This window comes from Homo sapiens, chromosome 5 (assembly GCF_000001405.40).
Source record: "Homo sapiens chromosome 5, GRCh38.p14 Primary Assembly".
NCBI classification, from domain to species: domain Eukaryota; kingdom Metazoa; phylum Chordata; class Mammalia; order Primates; family Hominidae; genus Homo; species Homo sapiens.
The window spans coordinates 34,749,475-34,771,098 of NC_000005.10; the positions used below are offsets into that span (position 1 = coordinate 34,749,475).

The 21,624-nt window shown below is 44.3% G+C and overlaps 1 protein-coding gene across 22 annotated transcripts in view; it reads left to right on the forward strand.

The window, feature by feature from the left end:
- The window catches only part of RAI14 (retinoic acid induced 14), a 176,285-nt gene that overhangs the window by 93,147 nt on the left and 61,514 nt on the right, over positions 1 to 21,624 (forward strand). For 18 of the 22 annotated variants that reach the window (NM_015577.3, NM_001145522.2, XM_047417088.1 and 15 more), the window contains one exon: positions 7,994 to 8,124. In NM_015577.3, the coding sequence (NP_056392.2) occupies positions 7,994 to 8,124 (131 nt within the window). Of the gene's footprint in view, positions 1 to 7,732; positions 7,853 to 7,993; positions 8,141 to 21,624 lie in introns of those variants that run through there. The other 4 variants (XM_011514016.3, XM_011514025.3, XM_024446017.2 and 1 more) reach the window with 3 other exon arrangements.

Sequence of the window (21,624 nt, forward strand, 5' to 3'; positions counted from 1 at the left end):
GTGATGCCATGTCTGGCCAAGGGCAGACACTGCCGGTTGCCAAATCCCCAGCGTTCATCACCCGGTTGACATGATGTTTGCTATTCTAGATGGAGGCAGGCAAGGCTTCAAAAAGGCCAAGCTTCAAGAGAAAACCTTTAAGTAAGTCAGTGTCATTTGGAAATGATTTGATGAATAGGAAACTTACCGGCCAGCCAATATCATTTGTGATATATTAGCAGGAATGTTTGGAGCCCATATTGAGGGTAAGGGCTCTTTCCCACATGCCGCCCTTCATAGCTGACACATTACACATGTCTCTGCAGCATAACATATGGCTTCCTGAACTTGCAAGTATGGCTTAATGTTCTCTGTTGAAATCGTGTCTGTTTAAACAGTCTCTTGGAAAAGTGAGCCATATTCAATAAAATCATTAATTTCATGTCTGTGAATGTTTCTCTAGAGCCCTTTAAAATATGATTTTGAAGGAGCATAGTAGAAAATTTGCATTAAGCTGTTATCAGCCTCTAAAAGGGTATTGGACTATCAGTCCTAAATTGTAAATATTAAAATATTCATAGAACATTAGTCAAGAAGGAACAGTGCAGCTCATCAAATTCCAGAAGAATCACCATTTTAGGTACCTAGTATGTGCCTGGCTGTTTATGTATGCTGCATCTGATTCTCAGGATAATTTACAAGTAGGGGGGATTTCCTGCCATTTATAGATAAGGACAGGGAGGCCCAGGGACACGGATGACCACCTAGAAGTGATGGAACTGGAATTTCAACTCAATAGCACCGAACTCTGAAGTCTGTCTCTTCTTTTCTACACCAGGAATTTTAAACTTGGGCTTAGGAGTGGGCTGGGTGGGGGTAGATATTTAGGCCAGAAATCATATGCAAGTTTTTGTGTGGATGTGCATTATTCTGAGGAATGTCTGTAACTGTACCAGATTCTCCAGGGGGTCCATGAGGCCTCCAGAAGATTAAGAACCAGATTTTGGCGCCACTCTGCCTTTTTTTTTAAGCGACGAGGAAACAGCAAGTGAGACTGAACCGTTCGAAGGCGTTTGACCTGGTGTTGACCAAAAACTGAAGCACAGGACTTCTTTCTAAATTCTGTGTGTATGTGTTTTGTATGCCTCAAGGGGGATGGTGAGGGAAGGAGAAGGAAATAAAAGAAATAAATCACATATGGAGAAAAGTACACAAAACCATGTACGTTCTAACAAGTAGTTATAAAGTGAGCATCTGAGGAGCTGCTAATCAGACCCTAAAACAGAGCAAGTCCCAGAATGGCCCCGGGTGTCCCTTCCTGATAGGATGCCACACCTTCACCCCTAATCATGACCCTTACTTTTATACTGACCTTATCCTTACTTTGCTTTATCATTTTTTTTTTTTTTTTTTTTTGAGGTGGAGTTTTGCTCTTGTCGCCCAGGCTGGAGTGCAATGGTGCGATCTCAGCTCACCACAACCTTTGCCTCCCAGGTTCAAGTGATTCTCCTGCCTCAGCATCCCGAGTAGCGGGGATTACAGGCTACGCCACCATGCCTGGCTCATTTTGGATTTTTAGTAGAGACAGGGTTTCTCCATGTTGGTCAGGCTGGTCTCGAACTCCCGAACTCAGGTGATCCGCCTGCCTTAGCCTCCCAAAGTGCTGGCATTACAGGTGTGAGCCACCGCGCCCGGCCATAATTTTTTTTTTTTTTTTTAATTTGAGATGGAGTCTCCCTCTTGTCGCCCAGGCTGGAGTGCTTACTGCAACCTCTGCCTCCTGGGTTCAAGCGATTCTCCTGCCTCAGCCTCCCGAGAAGCTGGGATTATAGGTGCCCGCCATGCCTGGCTAATTTTTTTGTACTTTTAGTAGAGACGGGGGTTTCACCATGTTGGTCAGGCTGGTCTCGAACTCCTGACCTCAAGTGATCTGCCCACCTCGGCCTCCCAAAGTGTTGGGATTACAGGTGTGAGCCACCTCACCCAGGCTATAATTTTATCATCTGTATATACATCCCTAAACACTATGGTTCCATGTTTCCTGTTTCTATCTTTATGTGCATGCAGTCATACTATTGTGGGTTTTCTTGTGTGTGTCTTGCTTCTTTCAACAGTACTGTTTTTAATACCCATCTGTGCTGTTGTACCTAGTTGTAGTTTGTTCATTTTCATTGCTGTGTGTTATTCTGTTGCTTGACGACGTGATAATTTATCCGTCGTTTGTTATTGGAAATTTGGGTTATTTGTAATTCTTGCCTGTTATGAGCGATGCTTTCGTTGACATTCTAATGCATGTCTTATACACAGGTTGGGGAAAGACCAATATTTACTCAGCTTTTATGGGAAACAAAATACCTAGTTCTACAAGAAAATAGTGAAGAATTCTTCTCTTCACAGGCCTGCTTCCTTAATGCCTTGTGGAAGAAGAAAATTCTTTCAAGTGAATTCTCCTGTTAGTCTTAACATAGGTTCCAGTTGTCCTCAAGTTAGCAATAAAAATCAAAGGATGCACTCGTTGAACCTAAGTGATTCCAGGGCTCCACCCCAGACTCCTGGGGTCAGAGTCTGCTAGATGGGGCTTGGGAGTCTGCAGATTTAACAAGCACCCAGGTGATTCTTGTGACTGGGAGACATCGCGTTCACCCTGATTGAATTTATAAGGCTGGGCTCCTTAGTTGGGAAGAGATTTGAAGAAAGTATTTGCATGATTAAAATCTTGGAAAATTGGCCTTTTAAAAAAGTTAAGGGAGTTGGATTTATTTAGCCTATAAAAAAACCTGAAACACGATTTAATAGTTGTTTGCAAAAGAATGAAACTTTTGTAAATGAAAAAACAAATATTTGCTAAGTCGAGAGTGATTTAGGCCAATCAACCTCCTGCTAAAATCAGCAGCAAATACTGAGCACCATGGGGGTAAGAAATGAAGACTGTTCTCAGGGCCTTCAGGGAGCTAAACACAGGAGAAAAACCGTAAGCTCTCGAACAAAAACCAGGATGCGATATTTCATCAAGTCTAGACTGTGGGCTTCGGTTGAGATGAGCGAGTGGATGGCCCCCAGGGACGCAATGGAGTAGAGAAACAGAGAGAGGCCACCAGGAAAGGGTGGAGAGGGCCCGCGGGGCTTGAGCTAGGCTTTCGAAATACGCCTTTGCTTAGGCAGATGGGGTGACAGAGCATTCTGAAGCAGTGGCTGCCAGTGTTTTTTCTTGTGATCCTCCAGTAAGAAATATCTATATTTCTTACATATATGTGTGTGTGTGTGTGTGTGTGTGTGTGTGTGTGTGTGTGTGTGTGTATATATATATATATATGTATCTTTTCTTTTTTTTTGAGACAAGGTCTTGGGTTGTCGCCCAGGTTGGAGTGCGGTGGTGCAATCTCGGTTCACTGCAACCTCCACCTCCCGGGTTCAAACGATTCTCCTGCCTCAGAATCCCAAGTAGCTGGGATCACAGGCACGAGCCACCGTGCCCAGTCCAGAAATGTATTTTATATCAGTCAGGATACACATACATGTAATAAATAAAAGCTTCATAAGACATTTAACTTTATTAAAGGTGGTACATCTGATGTTTTCTATTTTATTTTTTTAACATGTGAGGTTAACCGATAAACTATACAGCTTTCATAGAGTTGAAAACTATAAGAGGACCAGAAGCCCAGGGTGGAGGCAGAATCAGTCCTGTCCTATGGAGGGCATGCTAGTTAGAGGAGAGGATTTTCATGGAAAGTGGTGAGAGGTAATTTTGTTAGTTTGATGGTGGTCTCCAAAAGCCTTCTTTGATTCTAGAGTATGAATGAATTACTTTGGGATGTTATGATAAAATTTCAAACTTTACCTATTTATTTGACCAGCTCTACTTTTGGACAGTAGATTGACCAAAGTGACTTTTTGAGATTTTTTTTGATGCTTGGGGGTGGGGGTAGGGGAGAGGATTTGCTTCTGGATTCCAAAGAATGACTCAAAGTGCTTATTGAACATCTGTTTTGTCTCATGTTGTGATTGGCTATGGGAATTTTGGTATAGAAAATGGCACTGGAGCCAGGCACGGTGGCTCACACGCCTGTAATCCCAGCACTTTGGGAGGCCAAGGTGGGAGGATCACTTGAGGTCAGGAGTTCAAGACCAGCCTGGCCAATGTGGTGAAACCCCATCTCTACTGAAAATACAAAAATTGGGCCAGGTATTGTGAGTCACACCTATAATCCCAGCACTTTGGGAGGCCACGGTGGGCAGATCACGAGGTCAAGCGCTCAAGACCATCCTGGCTAACATGGTGAAACCCCACCTCTACTAAAAATACAAAAATTAGCTGGGCGTGGTGGCATGTGCCTGTAGTCCCAGCTACTCGGGAGGCTGAGGCAGGAAAATCGCTTGAACCCAGGAAGCGGAGGTTGCAGTGAGCTGAGATTGCACCACTGCACTCCAGCCTGGTGACAGAGCGAGACTCTATCTCAAAAAAAAAAAAAAAAAAATTAGCCAGGCATGGTGGCAGATGCCTGTAATCCCAGCTACCCAGGAGGCTGGGGCAGGAGAGTCGCTTGAACCCAGGAGGCAGAGGTTGCAGTGAGCCAAGATCGTGCCACTGCACTCCAGGCTGGGCAACAAGGTGAGACTCCATCTCAAAAGAAAGAAAAAAAAAAGAGTATGGCACTGGATAGAATAGTTTTATAGGAGAGGATGAGAGGATGTAGGAAATATCTCCGTGGGCAAGTTTAGGAAGGAAAACTGATGGCCTCTTTATCACTGTGCTTCTGGAAGGAGCATGATATGGCCAGTTGTGCATATCAGAGCTAATTGCAAGTATGATTAGTGGCCTGGCCCAGGACTAGACAACTCTGCTATTTGATCAGAATCCAGATTCCTGGATCAGACGTCTAATTGGGACCCTACTTGGCCTCTAGTTTTAGCATGCTTGTGAGAATTTTAAGAGCAAAACTCTTCTTAAAATTTTTTATTTTTAGAGATGGCGTCTCACTGTGTTGCCCAGAGTGGTCTCGAACTCAAGCAATCCTTCTGCTTTGGCCTCCCCAGTAGCTGGGATTACAGTTATGAGCTACCACGCCCAGGCTCTTACCTTCCCTCCTCTTTTCCCAACCTAGCTCTGCTTACTGTGAACCCCATCTGCAGCACTTCTTGAATGGTGTTGTGGATTATTTATTGAAGATTTGCTTGTGTAGCCATGTTCTCTTCATCTGCTCCAAGAGAAAAGTAAATTCTGGCCTGCACTGAAAAGAGGCTCTAGATAGAAGAGAGGCATTTCAGACCACTAGGAATGTTGCATTGACCTTGTCTTCCAAAGAGCAGGATAGGGAAGATCTCTCCTGCCATGTCTTATAGAAACTGAACTCCCTTAAAGATCCATGTGGAACGAATTTTAGGGAACCCCTGCAATCAGATTTTTCTCTACCTAAGAGTAGAGTGCCTTAGCAACGTTGAAAAGGAAAATCCTTTCATGCGGCCGTTCCTTTGCTTGAATACTTTCAGTCCTGTCCTCTGAGATTTGATCATATCCTTTTGATCTTCCCAGTCCAGTTTTAATTTGTTCAGTTTAGGTTAGAAAAGGATTTGGAAAAACAATACTTTTCTCTTTTAGGATTCTATAGGTAGGGATCATTGGTCCTAAATGTTCTTCCCTTTTTTCTTTGCTTGTAAAGTGCACTCTGGGGGAATAAGCTGCACTGTGTTTCTTGGGGCTTGATCATTTGCTGTAGTTGTTTGTACAGTTGTTAAGTTACGCTTTCTATTCTACTAACAAATGATGGTGTGAGGAACGCCATATTTCTTATGTTTCCCTTCAACAGGAAGCTTGATTGGTAACTAAAGACAAAAATCTCATTTCTTTGTGAGTAAATTGCTGTAGTAGGAGCGTGGCTGATGTTGGTCCAGACACATTCTTACTTTGTTAAACCTATGAGGAGAGTCATCAAGGAGAGCTGCACTGGTCTACATGGTGGCCTCTGGCTAACGTCACGTGAAGTCTCGAGGTTAAAAATTCACTTCTTCAGTAGCACTAGCCACATTTCCAGTGCTCAGTAGCCACAAGTGGCTCATGCAGTATTGACATTTTGGGCCAGATTATTCTTGGTGGGGGTAGGAGGACTGTCTCATGCATTTGTGCATTGTAGGACTTTCAGCAGCACACCTGGTCTCTACCTACTCAATGCCAGTAGCACTCTATAGACATAACAACCAAAATGTTTCCAGAGATTGCCAAATGACCCCACAGGGGCAAAACAAATCCTGGTTAAGAATCACTGGCTTTGTGGCTATAGTATTTGAAAGCCCAGATAAAGAACATTTCCATGACGGCAGACAGTCCTGTTCTAGAGTAATCCCTAGCAGAGTTTGGGGAATTTTATATAATAAGAATTTTGAGCTTTGGTGGAATCACAGTGGACATCCAGTCCAAAGCCTGGGGAAACTGAGGCACAGAAAGATTATGGGTGACTTCAGGTCACACAACATGTAAGTGTCAGTCTGGAGTTCTGGACTTCAAGTTCACGCAGCCCAGAGAACAAGCTGCTGATTTTTGTTCAAACCTGCTTCATTCCTACTGTGCACCTGCACTCAGTGTTGGTGGGGGAGGACAGAGTCCTAAAAACTGGGAATGGTTCAGTCCTGAGACGTTCAGAGATGCAAATTCTGAACACATCTCTTTTATCCCTCCCTGGCTTAAGGCCCTACATATGGGCTAGGGTTGGGAGGGTGACTGAGACATCTGATGGACAAAGACTTGTTGGGTTTCCTCATTTCCATCAGTACAGAGATTGGGAACATACTCCCGGGGCCGTGGAAGACTGTCATCCTGTAAAATTTCTTCTTTTTAGTTTTTAAATCTACAATATCTCCTCTGTCTGCTTCCTTTTAAGGGTCGATCGTAAAGCTGTTAATACGAAATACCTGGAGGTTCATCCCTTCAGAGGCTGCAAGGAAGCAGAGTCTATAGAAAGCTTTGGGAAGGGAAAAGGAGTCTCTCCCAGGGTGTGGTGTCCACAGCCGAAGGGGCCAGAAAGTGGGCTTAGCTCAGGGGCCGGGCGCAGGAGACGACTGGAAGGCAGCCCGGGCTTGCAAAGTGCCCAGAGCCTCTGATATGCTCAACATCTTTCCTTCCTCCCCTCTTTCCCTCATTAATCCCACGTGCTTCAACACCTCCCAATGACTCTTCAGTCACTGGTTCTATAATTCTCTCCCTCCTCTGCTCCCAAACCTTCAGTGGCTCACTGCTGCCTTTCATGTCTTTCTTAGTCTTATATTCAGAGCCCATCTGCTCTTATATAGAAATCGTCTCTTTCCCTCCTAAGTGTAGAAATCAGTTTTGCACATACGAGTGCCTTACTGTTACTGTGGTTTGCAGAATTATTCAGTTGGGGTTTGGCATTGACAGTGATTGAGGCTTTGCTCAAAGCTCTTTGACGTTTAAGAGCTTGCTCAGGAAGAAGTTTTGTTTCTGGTGAGACTTTGTTGAGTCGGTAGCCTGGACAACTACTTAAAATCAGTATCCAGCTCAAAATTCAGGGCCTGGTAAACAGACCAGAAAGAGAGGCAATAAAAGCAGATGAAAAATTATGTGTCTGTAAACCTCGGGTAACCTTGAGCTGCTGGTTTGGTTCTGTAACACGGTGGACAGAGTGAGCTGTGGATGAGGTCAAAGGCCAACGTGCTGAGGAGCAGCTGTCTAGTTCAGCGAGAAATTAGCTAATGTGTAAACTGGCCTTGAGGTCTTTTTACGTTGCTTCATATTCCTAGTGTTAGTTAAAAGAAGTAAATTTTATCTCAGAGTTTGGTGACTAGCCGTGATTTCATTGCACTATTTATGTTTTCTTTTGGGAAAGCGGCCTTCTTGGGTGTCTCCATGGTGAAGGGGAAGGTATTTTAAAACACACTCATTCGGGAGCAGGCTTTAATTTGAGTGACAGGAGGGTGGGGGCTGCGAGGACTGCAGCCCTGCTGGTCAGTGCGGCTGTGGCCAGTGTTGTTCATGACCTCTGTTTCTTCTCTTTCTCTACAGACCAATGAGTGGAACAAGAATGATGACCGGCTACTGCAGGCCGTGGAGAATGGAGATGCGGAGAAGGTGGCCTCACTGCTCGGCAAGAAGGGGGCCAGTGCCACCAAACACGACAGTGAGGGCAAGACCGCGTAAGCTGAAACACTGGTTTGCAGATATGCTGGTTCTGGGTTTTTGGGGTGTTCTCTGGAATCCTTAGTATCCATAGGGGAATTTCACACGTGCTCCCTCTCCACTCCCATGTTGAAATATGTAAGAAGATATTTTAATCTAGTGCCTTTCTCTCCAAATTCCAAGTCACATATGGAGCTCTACCTTGAATGGGTATACATGTTCCCAAGTATAAGCAAAGGTTTTACCTCCTAAGATTGCAACCAATTGTAGATGAGACATGAATTCTCTCTTCGATAAGAAATAGCATAAAAGAGAAAAAAGTATTTTCCTATAACCCTCAAACCTTACTGTGTATTTATCTTAAACTACTTGTTTATTTATTTGATCTTCCTTAACATAGATCATTAAGTACATGAGTAGTATGATTTTGCTTTATGGTTTGCTGTATGTAGTACTCTTCCTTGCCATAATTAAAGCTGTATATTTGATTAAGTATTTGTGTGTGTTTGTGCATGAGCATGTATTTGTTTATATCCATTCTTACGTTGGCAGTGTTGTGGAGAGAGCACTGACTTTGGAGCCAGATAGACATCTCACAGGAACTCTATCACTTACGAGTTGTGTAATCTCTGAACCTCAGTTTCCTTACTATAAAATGGAGATGGTATTAGTTAACTGTTAGAGTAGTTATGAGTATAAAATGAAATAATAATGTAGGTTGGGTGCCCTCAGAAGCAGGCTCTGAGACAAGGATTTAAGTGCAAGTAGTTTTATATCTTTTCTTTTTTCTAACATGTCAAATGATGGTTATTGTGTAATTACTGTGAAACACAAAGTGGTAATATATATTACTTAGGGATGTATACACACATACAATGCAAGTAATTTCTATAGCCGGTGATCCCAGGAAGCGTAAGAAAGGAAGAAACCTCTATTTTTAAGGTGTGTTATTGACAGGTTCCAACTTTGTCACTTTTTCTTGATGAGGATTCTGGGAATCTGTTTAGACCTAGAGCAGGGTTTGGCTATGTTACCGAGGCTAGACTTGAACTCCTGGGCCCAAGCAATCCTTCTGCCTCAGTCTCCCAAATAACTGGGACTACAGGCATGTGCCACCGTGCCTGGCTGTTGTCTGATTTTATAAATAAAGTTTTATTGAAACACAGCCATACCCATTCATTTAGGCATTGTTCGTGACTGCTCCCACACTACAAAGGCAGAGTTGAGTAGTTACAGCAGAGACTACATGGCTCACAAAGCCCAGAGTATTTATCTGGCCTTTTACAAAAAGGGTTTCCTTATCCCAGGTTTATAGTATGCCTCAGAGTTATTCCACCCAAGGGGTAAGAAACCTGGGGTATCTGTCCCTTATCTCCTCTCCCTCAAAGGTTGAGTGCCGACTGGGTACAGTGGCTCCCGCCTGTAATCCCAGCACTTTGGGAGGCCGAGGCGGGTGGAATCACTTGAGGTCAGGAGTTCAAGACCAGCCTGGCCAAAATAGTGAAGCCCTGTCTCTACTAAAAATAGAAAAATTAGCCAGGTATGGTGGCAGGCACCTATAATCTCAGCTACTTGGGAGGCTGAGGCAGGAGAATTGCTTGAACCTAGGAGGCGTAGGTTGCAGTGAGCTGAGACTGCGCCACTGCACTCCAGCTTGGGTGACAGAGCAAGACTCTGTATCAAAGGGAAAAAAAAAAGGTTGAGTGCTACTCTAGGGGACACCAGGGTCATGGCCAGAAAAAGTCTAAGGGGTCCCCAACTCCCAGGTCACAGACCGGACTGGTACTGCTCACAGCAGGAGATGAGCAGTGGTTGTGCAAGCAAAGCTTCCTCTGTATTTACAGCCACTCCCCATTGCTCGCATTACTATCTGAGCTCCGCCTCCTGTCAGATCAGTGGCAACATTAGATTCTCATAGTAGCACAAACCCTACTGTGAACTGCACATGCGAGGGATCTAGGTTGTGAGCTCCTTATGAGAATCTAATGCCTGATGATCTGTCAGTGTCTCCCATCACCCCCAGTTGGGACTGTCTAGTTCCAGAAAAACAAGCTCAGGGCTCCCACAGATTCTACACTACAGTGAGTTGTATAATTATTTCATTCTATATTACAATGTAATAATAATAGAAATAAAATACACAATAAATGTAATGTGCTTGAATCATCCCAAAACCATCCCCCGTACCTGGTCTGTGGAAAAATTGTCTTTCACAAAACTAGTCCCTGGTACCAAAAAGGTTGGGGACTGGTGGTCTAAGGGGATTTGGGAATGGCACCTTCAGCTGTAGGTGCTCTATATAAAGAGTGGCACAGCACCCAGCCCACAGTGAGCGCTTGATAAAGCCAGTCACCTACCCTGCTCGTCCTAGATTAGTGGTTTGCAATCTTGGCAGCTTCTGCGTTCGAATCACCTGGAGTGCTTCTTTGTTGTTGTTGTTGTTTGAGATGGAGTCTCTGTCACCAGGCCGGAGTGCAGTAGCGTGATCTCGGCTCACTGCAACCTCCGCCAGGCTGGAGTACAGTGGCGTGATCTTGGCTCACTGCAACCTCTGCCTCCTGGGTTCAAGCTATTCTCGTGCCTCAGCCTCCCGAGTAGCTGGGACTACAGGCATGCACCACCACACCCAGCTAATTTTTGTATTTTTAGTAGAGACGGGGTTTCACCATGTTGGCCAGGATGGTCTCGATCTCCTGACCTCGTGATCTGCCTGCCTCAGCCTCCAAAAGTGCTGGGATTACAGGTATGGAGTGCTTTTTAAAAATATTGATGCCATGTTGATCAGAATCAACCCCAGATGCTCTGAATCACTTGGTCTGGGGAGAGGCCCAGGAATCTATATTTTTTGTTCTGAGGTGTTTGGTGGTAAATGTTGGGGCTTTTGGTCTCCCTTTTGAATCACTACTCGGCCTTCTTTGTCCCTGTTCTCCCTAGTCCAGGTTTGCACATGTTTGTGCAAGACAACCTCTTCATGTCATCCCAGAGAAAGGGGAGAGAAAGGTTTATGATAATTTTGTCCAAGATAGTACTTACTAAAGAGAAGACAGAAAATTTAGATGAGCAGCTTAGCTACAATTGTGATCACCTTAACAAATTTGAACCTTTTGATCATAAGATATTTATTACATGTGTTCTCTTTATTTATTGTGGTAAAATGCGTATAACATAAAATTTACCATTTTAACCATTTTAAAGTATACAATGTAGAGGCATTAAGTATATTCACAATGTTGCACAACCATTGTCACTTTCTAGTTCTAGAACTTTCTAATCAACCCAAAGAAAACCCCGAACCCATTAGGGAGAAACTCCCCAACCTCCCCTCCCCTTCCTCTGGCAACCATGAATCTGGGTTCTGTCTCTGGATTTGTCTGCTCTGGATATTTTTTATAAATGCAATCATATAATATGTGGCCTCTTGTCTCTGTTCCTTTCACTTAGCATAATGTTTTCAAGGCTCACCCGAGTTGTAGCTTCTGTCAGTACTTCATTCTATTCTCTCTTCATGGTAGACATATACATAGCAGTTAGGTAAGAGTCACCACCTCCCTTTTGCAGATAATAAAACTAAGGCCCACATAACACAGCTCTTCCTGAATTTACCTTTTTGTGTGCATGTGTGTGAGACAGGGTCTCACTCTGTCACCCAGGCTGGAATGCAGTGGTGCAGTCACCGCTCACTGTAGCCTCAACCTCACAGGGTCAAGTGATCCTCCTGCCTCAGCCTCTCAATTAGCTGGGACTACAGGTATGCACCACTGCACCCAGCTAATTTTGGTTTTGTTTTGTTTTGTTTTGTTTTTGTAATGATGGGGTCTTGCTGTCTTGTCCTAGTGATCCTCCCATGTCAGCTTCCCAAAGTGTTGGGATTACAGGCATGAGCCACCATTCCCAGCCTTCTATTTTCTAGAGAGCTTTCGTGGTAATTTTGCGCTGGAATCTACAGTTGCCTGTCTGTCTAGAGGCTTGATTTTGGCCTTCAAGGTCTTTCCTCTGGCTCTGCCCCACTTACCTACATCCTGTCTCCCCGCTGTTTCTTCTGGAAGTGGAGCTGTCTGCTCCCGCCCTCCCCACAGGTCAGAACGTCCACCTGTGCACCCAGGTTCTATGTCCAATCCAAAATGCCACCCTCCCTGGTTCTCTTCCGCCTTTTTGACTTTTCTTCTCTTTGAAATACTAGAAATCTTGATTTAGAACCCATTATATTCGATTATTTTATTCTATTTATTTAGAGATGGGTCTTGCCATATTGCCCAGACTTGATTTGAACGCTTGGCCTCAAGTGATCCTCCTGCCTCAGCCTCCTGAGTAGCTGGGACTATAAGGCATGCACTACCACACCCACCTTTATTCTATTATATCAAATGAACAGGAACGACAACAGAAATGTCTCCATTCTAAGAAAACCTTTGTTTTCTGAAAGACTTGAATCCCGTAGAGTACAGTAAAGCTCCCTAAGGACAGGGATGGTACAATCTTATTGTGTTGGTCTTTCCCATTGTTCTAGGCCCAAAGGAGGCCTTCATTTGGGATTTGTGTAAATAACTTTTCAGTGTGTTCTTGTGGAGAAAACATTCTTTTTTTGCTGATAATATCTTATGGGTAAATTGCTTAGGGGTGAATTAACTTGGATTCAGAGGGGAAAGAATTCTTCTGGTGAACATCACAACCTGACTTGGCCCCCAAGCTTCCACGGCAATTTAAATAGAGAAGTACTCAACCTTTACCACCTAGAGAGCCAGGCAGTCTAGAAAGTCCCAACAATGTGGCAACAAAGGCAGCCATCTCCACAGACGTTCTCCAGAAGCCTCCATAACCCAAGGTCAATAACCAGATGGGTGGTTGGGTAATGCCTTAGACTTTTGAGTTTCTTTCTGGAGTATTTTCTTTCAGGGAAAGATGAGAATGCATGCCAGGAAATTTTCTTCCTCTAAGACTGATCAAAGAGGGGTTAAAAAAAAAGTAAAAGCAATTGAATGACTGGAATTCATTTAGGAAAAGAATAAAGGAAGGGTGGTGTCTTGGGTAGGAAGGGAACAAAATAGAGCAGAGCCAAGAGTTATAGCTGCAGCCTGTGTTTATGGAGTCAGGCCTGGCGTGCCTCTGCCCAGCTGTTCTCTTTCCATGGTGGATGTGAGGAAGTGGGAGGAGGTCAATGTCCTCAAACCTCTTACCGTAGAAGAGTCTAATTGTTTCAAGATGGGTTCCCTACATTTGGATGTGCATTTAATTAAAGTTATGTGTGTTTGTCTTACGAACAACCAGACTAAATAAAATCACTGCCGGCACTGTAGTATTTGAACAAATACCACCTGGGCATGTGTGTGTAGATATAAGGAGTGTGTGCATGTGTGTGTGTGTGTGTGTGTGTGTGTGTGTGTGTGTGTGTGTGTGTATGTGTCTGTATCATTTTATGTTGCCCACTTTTCAGAAACCTGATCTTTTTGGCTATGAAAGCAAGAATTTGTGAGAGTATTTTTAGATGACTCTGTGGAGCTTGACTATAAAGTGGGAGAGGCAGGCCTTGAACTTTAGAAATCACTATAATAAGGGCTTCTCTGGCTGGTGGTTTGTTGCACATTCTCCCTTCCTGTTTTCTCAGTATAGGGATGTATTAGATATTTTACACCAGCAGTTCAGTCTTGGAAATCGAGTTATACCACCTGATCAGCTCTCTCCAGTTCTTCTCACGTACAGCTGCCAAATTAATTTACCTAAAACCACTACATGTTATTTGTGCAATTGCAGCCTCCTACCTTCCCTGTGAAATCACCCTATGTCTTTTCTAAGACCTGTTGATATTTGTCAGAGTGATAAACTGAAGAATGTAATTGCTATATCCACTCTGCTTTGAGTCATTTTTGAAGTTGAGATAACCTCTTCTTATACTTTGCAAATATGCTTAAATGTTGTGTTTCATTAATCTAGTTGGGAGGTACTCCCTGGGTCCAAAATGTTCCAGACTTTTTCATAAGTAAATACAAAAGGAGAAAATATGCTCCTGGCCTCAAGATGCATAACACCTAGTCGGAAAGACAAGGCCAATGAAAATACTGGAGAATAATCAGATGCTAACCTGTAAAATACTGCATGTAAGGGGTTCAGGACAGAAGAGCTCATGAGACACTGGAGATGCTAAGAAATGCTTCCTGCCTGAAGTGTGATATGAGGTCGGCCTTGTAGAATGGAACCAGTAGTGGATTATACTGTAACCAGGGTGGATACAGGCAAATGGGGTTCAGGTAACAGCATGAACAGAGGCCACCCTAAATTGATTGTTTTGGTTTGGTTTTTTGAGACGGAGTCTTGCTCAGGCTAGAGTACAGTGGAGTGGTTTCGGCTCACTGCAACCTCCTGCTTCCTGGGTTCAAACTGTTCTCCTGCCTCAGCCTCCCACATAGCTGGGATTACAGGTACCCACCACCACACCTGGCTAATTTTTTATTTTTAGTAGAGGTGGTGTTTCACCATGTTGCCCAGGCTGGTCTCGAGCTCCTGACCTCAAGTGATCTGCCCGCCTTGGCCTCCCAAAGTGCTGGGATTACAGGCGTGAGCCACTGCACCCGGCAATCACCCTAAATTAAAACAGGAACAATGACACCATGGCCATGCTTTCTTTCCCTTCTTTAAGAGCTCATCAGAGCAACTTGAGTTCAGGGCCCCACTCACTAGATCATTGGTTCTCAGCTTGGCTCCCATTAGAATCACCTGGGCAGCTTTGACAAATGCTGAATTCCACCTGCAGAGATTCTGGTTTCAGTGGTATGGCGGTACTCCTGGGGATGGGGTTTCAGAAAGCACTTTAGGTGATCTGAATGGTTTGTCCAAACAGAACCACTGAGCAGGACAGGATACAGTGAGACCCTGCATTTCCTAGCCCAGAGCGTTCCAACAGGTGCTACATCGTGATACATTATAGGTAGGCTGAGGAAGGCCCAGGAAGCACAGGTGAATTTTCTCTCTCTCTCTCTCTCTCTCTCTCTCTCTCTCACACACAAATACATCCCTGTATACATGCAATATATGTATATAAGACTTGTACACAAAATAGAATTGCAATGAAAGGTACATTTTTGCTTAAAGTAAATTATATTAAAGTAACAATTCTCGAGTTTTTTTTTTAAAGGAAGCAGTGTTGTATGTTAAAGCTGAACTTAATTTATTGCAAAATTGTGCTTTAGAAGGAAGACTTATAACCAAGATTGTGGTGCAAAATTGATGAGAATAGATTTGGAAATTAGAACTACATTGGTTAAAATATTGGTGATATGGTTTGGCTTTGTGTCCCCACCCAAATCTCATCTTGAATTGTACTCCCATAATTCCCATGTGTTGTGGGAGGGACCTGGTGGGAGATAAGTTGAATCCTGGGGGCAGTTTCCCCCATACTGTTCTTGCGGTAGTGAATAAGTCTCACGAGATCTGATGATTTTAGTAGGGGTTTTTGCTTTTGCTTCTTCCTCATTTTTCTCTTGCCGTTGCTATGTAAGAAGTGCCTTTCACTTTCTGCCATGATTCTGAGGCCTCCCCAGCCATGTGGAACTGTAAGTCCAATTAAACCTCTTTTTCTTCCCAGTCTCAGATATGTCTTTATCAGCAGCATGAAAATGGACTAACATAGTAAATTGGTACCAGTAGAGTGGGGCATTGCTGAAAAGATACATGAAAATGTGGAAGTGACTTTGGAACTGGGTAACAGGCAGAGGCTGGAACACTTTGGAGGACTCAGAAGAAGACAGGAAAATGTGGGAAGGTTTGGAACTTCCTAGAGACTTGTTGAATGGCTTTGCCCAGAATGCTGATAGCGATATGGACAATAGGGTCCAGGCTGAGGTGGTCTCAGATGGAGATGAGAAACTTGTTGGGAACTGGAGTAAAGGTGACTCTTGTTATGTTTTAGCAAAGAGACTGGTGGCATTTTGCCCCTGCCCTAGTGATTTGTGGAAATTTGAACTTGAGAAAGATGATTTAGGGTATCTGGCAGAATAAATTTCTAAGTAGCAAAGCATTTAAGAGGTAACTTGGGTACTGTTAAAGGCATTCAGTTTTATAAGGGAAGCAAAGCATAAAAGTTTGGAAAATTTGCAGCCTGACTATTAGATAGAAAAGAAAAATTCATTTTCTGTGGAGAAACTCAAGCCAGCTGCAGAAATTTGTATAAGTAGCAAGGAGCCTTCCCAAGACCATGGGGAAAATGTCTCCAGGCCATGCCAGAGACCTTCACGGCAGCCTCTCCCACCACAGGCCAGGAGGCCCAGGAGGAAAAAGTGGTTTCATGGGCTGGGCCCATGGTCCCTGTGCTGTGTGCACCCTAAGGACTTGGTGCCCTGTGTCCCAGCTGCTCCAGCTGTGGCTGAAAGGGGCCAACATAGAACTTGGGCTGTGGCTTCAGAGGGTAGAAGCCCCAAGCCTTGGCAGCTTCCACATGATGTTGAGCTTACAAGTATACAAAAGTCAAGAACTGGGTTTGGGAAACTACACCTGGATTTCAGAAGATGTATGGAAACACCTGGATGCCCAGGCAGAAGTTTGCTGCAGGGGTGGGGTGCACATGGAGAACCTCTGCTAGGGCAATCCAGAAGGAAATGTAGGGCTGGGATCCCCTCACAGAGTCCCTACTGGGGTACCAGCTAGTGGAGCTGTGAGAAGAGGGCCACAATCCTCCAGCCCCCAGAATGGTAGATTCACCAACAGCTTGCACCATTCACCTGGAAAAGCTGCAGACACTCAACACCAGCCCGTGAGAGCAGCTGGGAGGGAGCCTGTACACTGCAAAGCCACAGGGGCGGAGCTGCACAAGACCATGGGAGCCCACCTCTTGCATCAGTGTGACCTGGATGTGAGACCTGGAATCAAAGGAGATCATTTCGGAGCTTTAAAATTTGATTGCCCCGCTGGATTTCAGACTTGTGTGGGCCCTGTAACCACTTTGTTTTGGCCAATTTCTCCCATTTGGAATGGGTGTAATTGCCCAATACCTGTACCCCCATTGTATCTAGGAAGTAATGAGCTTGCTTTTGATTTTACAGGCTCCTAGGTGGAAGGGACTTGCCTTGTCTCAGATGCGACTTTGGACTGTGGACTTTTGGGTTAATGCTGAAATGAGTTAAGACTTTGGGGGAACTGTTGGGAAGGCATGACTGATTTTGAAATTTGAGGATTGAAATCTCTCCACATGAGATTTGGAGGGACCAGGGGCAGAATGATATGATTTGGCTCTGTGTCCCTACCCAAATCTCATCTAAAATTGTACTCCCATAATTCCTACATATTGTGGGGGTACCCAGTGGGAGATAATTTGAATCATGGGTGTGGCTTCTCCCATACTGTTCTTGCAGTAGTGAGTAAGTCTCACGAGATCTGATGGTTTTAGTAGGGGTTTCCACTTTTGCATCTTCGTCATTTTTCTCTTGCCACCACCAAGTAAGAAGTGCCTTTCACCTCCTGCCATGATTCTGAGGCCTCCCCAGCCATGTGGAACTGTAAGTCCAATTAAACCTCTTTTTCTTCCCAGTTTTGGGTATGTCTTTATCAGCAGCATAAAAACAGACTAATACAATTGCTAAGATCACAGCATTTTTCATTTTAGAGCTATTTTCAAAGTTGGATTAAGTATATTGAGAACAAAGGATTTTAGACACTTAAATGGGTAATTGTTGCCCAGGGTCAAAGCTCTTTGGCTTTGCTTTTCCTCTCTCTGTTCCCTCCACTGGCTGGACCTGCCCCAAATGCAGAGGTCAGGAGAGCCTGGGAAACGTAGTTGGCTGTGATAGACAGCAGAGTAAGGGAGGGTGGAGATGGATCTCAGAACCCACAGCAGCGAGCGACCTGCACTCAGCCGCTATCACACTGGGGCTGCTGGAGCGGGAGATTCTCATGCTGAGCAGCAACCAGCCTGCTCAGAGGCTGGGGTACATGAGATCATTAGCGTGTGCCAGTTCTTTAGAAGCACTTCTGCTTTCCCTGCTCAGTTCCTGCCTTCCAAGATGCTGTCGCTGCCACCGCCACCGCCCCCACCACCCCCACCACCCCCACCACCCCCCACCCCATTCCACCAAGTCTGGCGTATCATTCAAGGCCCAATTTACCATCTCTTTCCTGAAGCCATTTCTAAAATTTCCTGAGTGAGTGCTGTCTTGCCACTGCCTCTCTGAAATCACCTAGGATTTGGTGGGTTTTGGTTTCCTACGTACTTGTCTGATTTCTGTTATCAAATTATCAAGGCGAGAGCCCAATCTTTCCTACTAAGAAAGGAATTGTTTCTTATTAATTATGTTAATACTGAATGTCCCAACACCGGGCTAGGTTCTCATGGAGAGCCTCTGCTAGGGCAGTGCAGAAGGGAAATGTAGGGCTGGGACCCCCTCATAGAGTCCCTACTGGGGCACCACCTAATGGAGCTGTGAGAAGAGGGCCACCATCCTCCAGACCCCAGAATGGTAGATTCACCGACAGTTTGCACCGTTCACCTGGAAAAGCTGTAGACACTCAACACTAGCCCGTGAGAGCAGCTGGGTGGGAGGCTGTACACTGCAAAGCCACAGGGGCGGAGCTGCACAAGACCATGGGAGCCTACCTCTTGCATCAGTGTGACTTGGATGTGAGGGACTCTGTGAGGGGGTCCCAACCCTACATTTCCCTTCTGCACTGCCCTAGCAGAGGTTCTCCATGAGCACCTAGCCCAGTGTTGGGGCATTCAGTATTAACATAATTAATAAGAAACAATTCCTTTCTTATTAGGAAAGATTGGGCTCTCGCCCTGATAATTCGATAACAGAAATCAGATAAATACCTAGGTAACAAAAACCGTGTCATTCATTCAGCCAACAGTTTATTCATTCAACTTAGAGATCTCGTCAATTTCCATCAGGTGTTTCCCATCTGATGCTCTCAATCACCCTGAAGTAAATTTACGAAGAGGGAAGTGGGGATCAGAGAAGTTCTGAAATTAGTACAAATCGCCTGTTCTACATACTGGAGTCTGGGGGTGTGTCAGTGAATACAACATAGAAATCATTTGCCCTAATGGAGATTTCATAATGCCCAAGTACCATTTCCAGACTATCCTTATGAAGCCAAACAATCCTGAAGAAAAAGAGCAAATGCTCTGGTTAAATGTCGTGGGCCCCGGGTGCGGTGATTCACACCTGTAATCCCAGCACTTTGGGAGGCCGAGACGGGCAGATCGCTTGAGGTCAGAAGTTCAAGACCAGCCTGGCCAACATGGTGAAATGCCGTCTGTACTAAAAATACAAAAATTAGCTGGATGTGTAGATGCACGCTTGTAATCCCAGCTACTCGAGAGGCTGAGGCACATGAATCGCTTGAACCTGGGAGGTGGAGGTTGCAGCGAGCCGAGATGGTGCCACTGCACTCCAGCTTGGATGACAGAGTGAGACCCAGTCTCAAAAAAAAAAAAAGGATGAGGGGTGGTTCCTCAGTCCTTGAGTATGTGATCTTCCATCTCAGTGTCCTCTCCCTCCTGTTCCTCAGAAGTAGTACTGCTGATTCTATTAATTAGCACATCACAGGCACTTAAAGGATAGTAATCCTGTTTTTTTTTATAGCATTCATTTTTTACATGCCAGTCATTTATTATACCTTTTGAGCAGGGAAAGGCAACAAATGTTTCCATCTCAAACTTTCTGCTACATCAGTTCCTAATAGAAGCAGTGATCAGCTATTGCAGCTGCTTTTGAAATCACTGAAAGCCGGGCAGCCCATCACTTTTCTGCTGAAAAGATTTGTCTCTGGGCCAATAGAGTTAATTCTACAGAGTAGAATTTAGTTTTTCAAGGCTTTTATAACTAAAGTTATAAGATAGTGCTGCCTTCCTTACCCTCAGTATAATCTGAAATGGGAATCCAGACCTTTTAATCCTATTGTTAGGATTGGCCTGCTGAAATATTCTGTGTGCGCTAAGCCTCATTTGAACTCAGTGACCTAGAATTTAGATATTGCAGCAAATGAGTGCCATAGAACACTTGGTAGGCTGGAATGGAATCCTAGACTTTTAGAGGAGAAAAGGCTTAGTAATTCTGTAGATCAGATGAGTACACTGAAGTAAGTGAATTTGAGTGGCTTTAAATTGTCCCATAGCTTGGGGTTGGCAGAGTTGAGACCAAAATCAAGGACTAATGACTTTTAGTTTGTATATATTTTTTAAGACAGACTCACTCGGTAGCCCAGGCTGGAGTGCAGTGGTGTGATCTCAGCCTCACTGTAACCTCTGCCTCCTGGATTCAAGCAATTCTCATGCCTCAGCCTCACGAGTAGCTGGGATTTCAGGCATGTGCCACAATACTTAGCTAATTTTTGTATTTTTTAGTAGAGATGTGGGTTTCACCATGTTGGCCAGGCTGGTCTTAAACTCCTCACCTCAAGTGATCCACCTGCCTTGGCCTCCCCAAGTGCTAGGATTACAGGGATGAGCCACTGCGCTCAGCTCCAGTTTATACTTCTTTCTACTGTGCCAGTGGTCCTAAAAATCGAATGTGTATAAGAGTCATCTCCCGGGTAGGGGAGCTTGCAGGGCTTCTCCCCTGGCGTCAGGACAGGATCCCGACATTGCGCATGTCCAGCCCATTCCCCGGTGATGCGGATGCTGCTGGCCCGGAAACCATACTTTGAGAACCACTGCACGACACTGTTGGGAAGCAAAATCGAGCTCATGTCATAAAGGACACAGCTTTCTCTCCTAAGAATGTAAATTACAACCTGAGAAAAATATCTGTTTATGCCAGTATATAGGTGTGCCTTGACGTGAGAAAACTCAAAAAGTTCAGGCTAAAAAAGCAAATTCAAAACTAAAGATTTACATGACCTAAAAATTAATTCTGTGTGCTAGGAAAATAAAGTCTCTGCCTTCATGGTACACACAGTCTAATAGGGCAGACAGACAATAAACAGATACCTCTTTACTATAATGTCAAATACATTCAAGAAAATAAAGAAGACATTGGACTGTGCGAATAAACCTGGAGAAGGAAGCCCTCTCAGCAGATTCCTGAATGGAGTGAGGGATTCAGCTGCGTACTTTTCTGCAGGAATGGCTCTCCTGGTGGAAGGAACTGCAAGGCAAAGGCCCTGAGGTGGAAGGACGCTTGATGTGCTCAGGAAACAGCAGAGAGCCCAGTGAATAGGGAGAGTCCTAGAAGGTAGGTCAAAAGGGAGCCAGGACACTGCGTGTAGAGCCTTGTATGCTACAGGAAGGAATTTACCTAATTTTAAAAATATGATCTAATATTAAAAATATTTTAATCCTGTTTTTTAAAATATTATTTAATATCATTAGTTTTTTTCTCTCCAGAAAGACATCATATAAAAAGAGTACAATAAAAATATAAGCAGTTTGAGGTGGTCAGGATACAAGGCTCCTGTTGCAGAACTGAGATGCTGAGGCTCTCAAGGGATTGTGGGAAAGTTGTTATGTACCATGAAGTATTTGAGTCTCTTCCTGATCACAGTCACTCCTTTCTTGGAAATGAAGATTTTTTAAAAGGAAAGAAGGGAGTCGT